Consider the following 8,865-nt stretch of genomic DNA (forward strand, 5'->3'; position numbering starts at 1 on the left):
ATTTGTTTTCTATATTTGTCATCAGTTCTTTGTTCCATTTTTTCCTGAGTCCTTTTGGATTACTTGAACATTTTCTGATTCAATTTTATCTCCTCTGTTAACTTACTAGTGATTACTAATTATTTTGTTGTTTGAGTAGTTGATTTAGAATTACAGTATCCATCTTTAATTTGTCACAGTCTCCCATAGTAAAATAATATACTTTCATTTCTCCCCTCCTAAACCATATCCTATTTTTGTCATTCGTTTTACTTATATATATGTTATAATCCTAATGATACCTTGTTATTGTTTTTTAAATAATTATCTTTTAAAGGGATTTAAATATTAAGTTAAAAATCTCACATATGTATAAATATAGTTATCATTTCTGGAGCTTATTTTCTGTATTAAAATTCTTATTTCCATACAGTATTATTTTCTTTCTGTGTGTGTCTGAAAAGACATTTATTTCATCTTAATTTTGAAAGATTTTTTGCTGGTTATAACCGCAAAAGCATAATTGACAATGTTTTTTTCAGTAGTTCAAATATGTTGCTCTACTGCTTTCTCACTTGTATTGATTCTGACAAAAAATCTGCCGTCATCCTTCTTTTTATGTATTTGTATGCATTGTGTCCTTTTTCCTCCAGCTACTTTTAAGATTTTCTCAGTATCACTGGTTTTGAGCAATTTGTTTATGATTTTGCTGCTGTAGTTTTCTTCATATTTCATGTGCACGGGGTCATCAATCTTCTTGAACCTGTGTTTATGGTTTTCATGAAATTTAGAAAATATTTGGCTAACATTTGAAAAAAATCTTTGTTCCCACCATCCTCTTTTCCTTTAAAAATTCCATATATTAGGCCCCTTGAATTAGTCCCATATATCACTGATTCTCTGTTCTTGTATGTGTCGTATGTCCTTTTATTTTTATTTTTCACTTCATAATTTATTTTGGAACATTTCTATTTCGATGTCCTCAAATTCACTAATAATTTCTTCTGTATGCTAATTTCATGTAGTGTATATTTCATTCCAGACATGGCAGTTTTTACATCTTGGAGTTTGACTTGAGTCTGTTTTAAGCTCTTTCATGTCTCTACTTAAATTATTAAATATACAGAATTTAGACATAACATTTTAATGTGTATTTGTTCATTTTAACATCTGTATCAGTTCTGGGTTGGCTTTGATTAATTTTTCTCCTCATACTGTGTCTGAATTTCCTGTTTCTTTGCCTTTCTTGTAAGCGTTGGATGTCAGACACTGTAATTTTACTGTGTTAGCTGCTAAGTACTTTTTTAATACATAATAATGCATTCTTACTTTGGAAAGCTTTCAAATTTACAGAAAAAGTGCAAAGATTGTGTATTAACATTTTACATTTGTTTTGCATACATGTTACAATGAATACACCAATATTGATACATTATTATTATATAAAGTTTATATTCTGGTTTCTTCAGGTTTTTTCTTTTTTTTTTTTTTTTTTTGAGACGGAGTCTGGCTCTGTCACCCAGGCTGGAGTGCAGTGGCACCATCTCGGCTTACTGCAAGCTCCACCTCCCGGGTTCATGCCATTCTCCTGCTTCAACCTCCTGAGTAGCTGGGACTACAGACTCCCGCCACCACGCTCAGCTAATTTTTTGTATTTTTAGTAGAGACGGTGTTTCACCATGTTAGCCAGTATGGTCTCGATCTCCTGACCTCGTGATCCGCCCACCTCGGCCCCCAAAGTGTTGGGATTACAGGCGTGAGCCACCGCGCCTGCCCTCTTCAGTTTTTATCTAATATCCTTTTTTTGTTCCACCATTCCATCAAAGATAAGACTTTTAGTCACCATGTCTCCTTAGACTCCTCTTTGCTATAAAAATTTCATAGGCTTTGTTTGTTGTTAATGACGGTTTTGAGGAGTACAGTAAATAGATTCGGATTTGTCTGATGTTTTTCTTATGATTAGACTAGGGTTATGGGTTTGGGGGAGGGAGATCACAGAGATAAAATGCTATTTTTATTATATATCATATCTAAGGTACATACTGTCAACATAACTTATTACTGCTGATGTTAATCTTACCTGGCTGAGATAGTGTTCATTAGGTTTCTCCACTGTAAAGTTACTCTTTCACCCCCATTTCCATACTATATTCATTACAGAGAAGTTACTATGTGTAGCCCACACTTAGAGCCTGAAGGTTATGTTGTAATTTCTTGAGAGTTGGATAGCTAAATAAATAATTTGGAATTATTTTGCATGGGAGATTAGTCTGTCTTATTTATTTATTTAGTCAGCTGGTGCTCACTGATATTTGTTTTATGTTTTAAATTATAATCCAGTGCTACTTTATTTATTTTGCTACTTAAGTTGTTCCAGCTTTGGCCATTGGAAGCACTTTTATTTAGCTCCTGTGTTCCTTTGACATACCAATCACTGTGGATTTTTTTAAGTATTTCCTTACTTTTTGTTACAACAACATGCTTAGGCTGCTCTTGTGTATTTTCTGTGCCCGTCCCAAATTCAGCCATTTTGCCAAGGGTGTTGGGTACTTTTGTATTACAGGTTGAGTATCCCTGATCCAAAAATTCAAAATTAGAAATGCTTCAATTAGCATTTCTTACGAGCATGACTTTTGAGTGTCATGTTGGTGCTCAAAAAGTTTTGGATTTTGAAAGATTTCAGATTTTGAATTTTGAGACTAGGGAGGCTCAACTTGTACTATGAATATTCTTGAGCTTAATTCCGTAGTGTAATTAAGGCTCTTGGCAAGAATTTGATCCATTTGGGACTTGATTTTAGGATTTGATAGGTTGAACCTGAGAAGCATTTAGTTTAGGTCTAGTTATTTTCCATTACTTAAGCAAGATCCTTCTGAATACTGTAACCAATGCCTTGGGAATGATAAGGTTTTCCAGGCCAGACAGTGGGAACAGGTATTGTGACCTTTGAAATGTTTTTATCCCCAGCCTTGTGGATAATGACAATGATAATGCAAAGTGTAGAAAGAAAGAATTGGAAATATATTGTTGTAAGGTCCTTGTGGTAGACTTAAAGTGGTATAAAAAAATTAAAGGTAGACTTTAATTAAGAATATGTATTGGAAGCCCTGGACTAACCAATATAAATATATAATGGTATAATTAATAAGTCAATAAAAGAGATAAAATGGAATAATAAAAAATGTTAACTCAGGAGAAGACAGAAGAAGAAAAATAAATATAAAACAGATGGAACACATAGAAAACAGCAAGATGGTAGATATTAATCCAACCATATTAATACTCAAATTAAATGTAAGTGATAAAAACACGCCAGGTAAAAGACTGAGATCGTCAGATTGGATAAAAATGCAAGATCTAAATATATAGCGTCTGTAAGAAACCCTCTTGAAATATAAAACTGTAGACAGTTTAAAGGTAAGAAGGTGGAGAAAGATGTATCATGCAAATACTAATCACTTGAATCACTTGAGATCAAGAGTTCAGCCTGGCCAACATGGTGAAACCCTGTCTCTACTAAAATACAATTGTAATTGTATTAAATTGTAAAAAATACAACAGTTAGCCAGGCATGGTGGCATGCACCTGTAATCCCAGCTACTCAGGTGGCTGAGGCAGGAGAATTGCTTGAACCCGGGAGGCGAAGATTGCAGTGGACTGAGATCTCGCCACTGCTCTCCAGCCTGAGTGACAGAGTGAGACTCTGCCTCAAACAAAAAACAAAAAACACCCCCAAAATTATAGCTAAATTTGTGGGATACAACTAAATCATGCTTGGAAAAATAGCATAAATGTTTAGAAAAGAAGAAAGACGTCAAATTAATAATTTGAGATTCCACCTGAAGGTACTAGAAAAAGGAGTAAAACAAGCTCAAAGCAAGGAGTGGGAAAGAAATTTATAAGATCGGAGCAAAAATCAATAGAATTGATTGCAGAAAGCAGTAGAGAATATTAATGAAGCTAAAATCTGATTATTAAAAAATCAAGAAAAATGAGAGGAGACTAATTACCAGTTTCATGAATAGAAGAGGGACATCACTACTGATTACACATACTTTAGAAGGGTAATAAGAGGATACTACAAACAAATTTATGCCCATAAATTTAACATCTTAGATAAAATGGACCAACATTTGGAAAGCCAAACTACTAAAACCCACAGAAGAAGTAAGTAACCTGAGTAATCCCATTTCTATGAAAGCAATTGAATTTATTTTAAAAATGTTTAATAATTTAAAATATGCTAGCTATTGTTCTTCTTAATGATGATGAAGAGGAAGCATCACACAATAATGATACTGATGATGGCAGTTGTGTTGGTGGGTGATGATGGTGATGGTGGAGCAAGTGGTGATGGTGCACATGCAAAAGAATGAAATTAGACCCTTATCTTATACCACATAAAAACATCAACTCAAAATGAATCAAAGACCTAAATGAAAGTTAAAGCCCTTAGAAGAAAACATAGGGGAAAGCTTTATCACATTGGATTTGGCAATGATTTCTTGCATATAGCACCAAAAAATAGGCAACAAAAGCAACAAAAGAAAAAATGGATACATTGGACTACATCAAAATTTAAAACTTCTGTACCTCAAATGACACTATTAATAGTATGTTAAGGTAACTCAGGGAATGGGAGGAAATAGGTGAAAGTCATATAAGGGGTTGACATCTAGAATATATATAGAACTCCTGTAACTCAACAACAAAAAAGCAAATAGCCCAGTTAAAAAATGGTCAAATGACTTGAGTAGACATTTCTCCAAATAATATATACTAATAGCCAATAAGCACATGAAAGGGTGCTCAACATCCCTAATAATTAGGAAAGCGTAAATCAAAACCACAATGATATACTGCTATTTCACACCCATTAAGATGGTTGCTATTAGAAAAAAATAGAAAATAACAAGTGTTGATGAGAATGTGGAGGAATTGGGTGGGGCGTGATGGCTTATGCCTGTAATCCCAGCACTTTCGGAGGCCGAGGTGGGCGGACCACCTGAGGTCAGGAGTTTGAGACCAGCTTGGTCACCATGGTGAAACCCTGTCTCTACTAAAAATACAAAAGTTAGCCAGGCATGGTGGCGTGCACCTGTAATCCCAGCTACTCAGGAAGCTGAGGCAGGAGAATCACTTGAACCTGAGAGGCAGAGGTTGAAGTGAGCTGAGATCACGCCACTTCACTCCAGCCTGGGCGACAAGAGTGAAACTCCGTCTAAAAAAAAAAAAAAGAATGTGGAGAAACTGGAACCCTTGTGCACTGTTGGTGGGAATGTAAAATGGTGCAACCACTGTGGAAAACGGTATGGTTGTTCCTCAAAAACTTAAACATAGAATTATCCATATGATCCAGGAGTTCCACCTCTGGGTATATTCACAAAGAATTGAAAGCAGAGACTTGAAAAGCTATTTGAACACCCATGTTCATAGCAGCATTATTCACAATACCCAAAAGGTGATGGCAACCCAAGTGTCCATCGACAGATGAACGAATAAAGAAAATGTGGTACACACACCACACAGCCTTAAAAGGAATGAAGTTCTGATACATGCTACAACATGGATGAATCTTGAAAGTAAACTCAGTTAAGTGAAATAAACTAATAACAAAAAAAAAAAAATACCGTGTAATTCCACGTATATGAGGCGCCTAAAGCAGTCAAATTCATAGAGATGGAAAGTAAAATGGTGGTTGCCAGGGGCCGCTGGGGAGAGGGGAGTGAGGAGTTATTGTTTTGTAGGTACAAAATTTCTGTTCTGCAAAACGAGAAGAGTTCTGGAGATGGATGGTGGTGATGGTTGCCCAACAATGTGAATGTCCTTAATGCCACTGAACTGTACACTTAAAAATGGTTAAAATGGTAATTTTTATATTATGTATATCTTACCACATTTAATAATAACAATTTAAAGATATATCAAAAGAGGCAAATGTGCAGACATCTATCGAATAAATAAGTTATCAAAAACAGCAAAAAGGGACAGATAATAATAATAAAAAAAGATAGTTTCTGTTTTTGAGGAGCCCACGAAAGCCACACATCACTGAGAAAGCCGAGGAGAGCTGGGGCTTTCTCAGGGGTAGCCCTGGTGCAGCTCCCTTGCCTCGTCTAGTCCTGCTTTAGATGCTCGCTACTCGGGTGAGGGCTGCAGATCCTTGTGGAAAGAGACAGAAAAAGAGGAAGAGAGCTTGAATTGGAGGCCGTGCCTCTCAGCGTGGCCTCCCGATCCTTGAATCGGAGGCCGTGCCTCTCAGCCTGGCCTCCTGATCCTTGAATCGGAGGCCGTGCCTCTCAGCGTGGCCTCCCGATCCTTGAATCGGAGGCCGTGCCTCTCATCGTGGCCTCCCGACCTAGCCTGGTGGAGAGCGCCCCCTGCCGGTAGATCCTGGCCCGGCACACTGAGAGCGGCAGGCCCCGCCGGAGGGGCCAGCGCAGGACCGGGGAGAATGGAGCTCAGCCAGTGCCTAGCCCTGGGTTTATTTCCAGTTTCCTGCTGGAGAGCAATGGTCAAACTACACAGTCCGGCGGAGGCGAGTCCGCAGGCTCTGGAAGCCTCTGAGGCACAGACGAGGAAAGCGCCTGAATGTGGATCTGGGGTACAGAAGTTGCCGGTGGCTCTGGCCCTGTTCATGGGACTCAGTCAGCAGAAACTGTGGGTGTGACACACACCGGAGCCTCACCTGCCCTGTGGACTGCCCACACTCTCTCTCAGAGCCTCACCTGCCCTGTGGACTGCCCACGCGCTCTCTCAGATCCCGGCCTGTGCACCTGGCCCTTCCCCAGCCTCCCAGGCAGAGGGTGCCACGGGGCTGAGGGCAGGCAACAAAGCCACTGGCCTCTGGCTCAGCACCCAGCTGCAGCCCTGTGGATCCTGGCCCACAGCCTCCCCATGACTTCACTGGCATCCAGGGTTTCTCGAAAGCGCTATGAGCCAAGTGGTACCCTTCCCCTCTGATGTGGCTGGGTTGGAGAGGGAGTCCTGGATGCAGCTGGAGGTCCCCTTCTGCTCACGGCTCCCTGGAGGCTGTGTCTGTGCATGCACACCATCACTCCTACTCCAGGAAGGACTTTCACGGATGTCCTCAGCTACCAAAAGTCACTCCAGGGAGTGATAAATTCCGTCCAACCCAAAGTGTGCCACACTCTGCTATGGGGCACTCCTTTGTCTCTGCACCAACTCTGTTGGTTTCTATTATCTTCTCTCCCTCTCTCCTTTTTTTTTTTTTTGAGACAGAGTCTTGCTCTGTTGCCCAGGATGAAGTGCAGTGACATGATCTCAGGTCACTGCAACTTTCACCTCCTGGGATTCAAGTGATTCTCGTGCCTCAGCCTCCCAAGTAGCTGGGATTACAGGTGTGCACCACTATGCCCAACTAGTTTTTGTATTTTTAGTAGAGACGGGGTTTCTTCATGTTTGCCAGGCTGGTCTTGAACTCCTGGCCTCAAGTGTTCTGCCCGCCTCTACCTCCCAAGGTACTGGGATTACAGGTGCGAGCCACTGCACCTGGCTGGTTTCTATTATCTTCTTAGAAAGCCTGTTGGTCCTTTGTGCAGACTCCTTCATTCCCCCAGCCTCGAGCTCTGCCTTCTATTCCAAATGTGTGAATTTATAAGCATTACACAGCTTATTTTTCATATTGGGGAATGGGTGTGAATTAGTATGAAGTCAAGCTGCAAGAGTACCAATACCAGGTCCATCTCTTACTAGTTTTGTGACCTTAGGTGACTTAGCCTCTCTAATTTTCGTTTTGTCTTATCAGTTAAATGGGAATAAGCATAGCACTTACCTTAGAGGACTGATGTGGGAATGAGGCAACATAATAGCTATATTGCTTTTATCACTGTACCTGACAGAGTGAATGTGTAACAAACGTTAACCTTTCTTGTCAGCAAATTTAAAACCTCACAGCATATTCTGCACTCATTACGCCAGTCTGTTGGAGCTGAGTCCATGCCTTTTTCTCTCTGCGTTGGGAAAGCCATGCTAGCTACATGCATTTTTGGTCATGAACCAGTCTTAGATTTAAGTCAATGTAAATTTGGCCTTTGCCGTGTTCTTAATGTCTTCTTTACATACCTAGGAAAAGTGAAGGAGAGGTGAGAAAGACAGAGTGGGGAGGAACCCGTGTCTGTGGGTTTGTGCTAGATGCCAACCTGGCTCTTCACATCCTCTGTCTCATCCAGTCAAGCAGCCACACTGAGTCCCCCAGCATGAGAACAGCTTCCACAGAGCAGGAGATTCTGGGTCTGAAATGAGGAGAGAGCTCCAGTCCCACCAGTGCCCTAGAGCATACCTCAGAATGCTCCTTTCTCCTGGTGGGATCCGTGGAGTCTGCCTGCTCTTCCAAGGATGCCTCAGCCTTTTAAGTAAGGCCTAGGGAGGGGCCCTGAAACTACCAGGACCTGAGGAGAAGCAGGATTCTCAGCGTGATTTCACACCACCCTAAGCCGCCGGGAATACTTGCTGCTCATTATCTCTCTATTGGAGTCTCATGGAACACATTGTGGGAAGTGCTATAGAATTCTAGGGACATAGTGGGCACCAAGTGAATATCAGTTACTTTAATTATTACTAAATTTATCTCCCTAACAGGAATTTACTATCTTACCATAATAAACTCTGCTTACATTCTCATATAGGTGAATACACCTGCCCTAAGTCATCTCTACAGCAAGAGCAGAGGCCACATCTACCTCCAGGGTTATTGCCATTCTCACAAAGGTGAGGATAAGTCACCACAGGGAACATTGCTTCTCTGCAGGCTGTGACACTTTCCAGGGCATATAAAGCCCATGAAGAACTGAGATGTTTGCTGAGAAGAGAGCATACCCACCGAAGACAGTGGAAAATGAAAAAACAACAGGAGTAGAAACTTCC

The 8,865-nt window shown here is 40.3% G+C and overlaps 1 protein-coding gene across 2 annotated transcripts in view; it reads right to left on the reverse strand.

Moving 5' to 3' along the window:
• IL36B (interleukin 36 beta) overlaps positions 1-8,115 on the reverse strand; it is a 30,779-nt gene extending 22,664 nt beyond the window's left edge. For both annotated transcript variants that reach the window (NM_014438.5, NM_173178.3), the window contains exon 1: positions 8,065-8,115. The gene's annotated coding sequence lies outside the window, so the exon portion shown is untranslated. The remainder of the gene's footprint in view (positions 1-8,064) is intronic.
• Positions 8,116-8,865: the final 750 nt, after the last annotated feature.

The sequence above is a fragment of the Homo sapiens genome, chromosome 2, assembly GCF_000001405.40.
Source record: "Homo sapiens chromosome 2, GRCh38.p14 Primary Assembly".
NCBI lineage: Eukaryota > Metazoa > Chordata > Mammalia > Primates > Hominidae > Homo > Homo sapiens.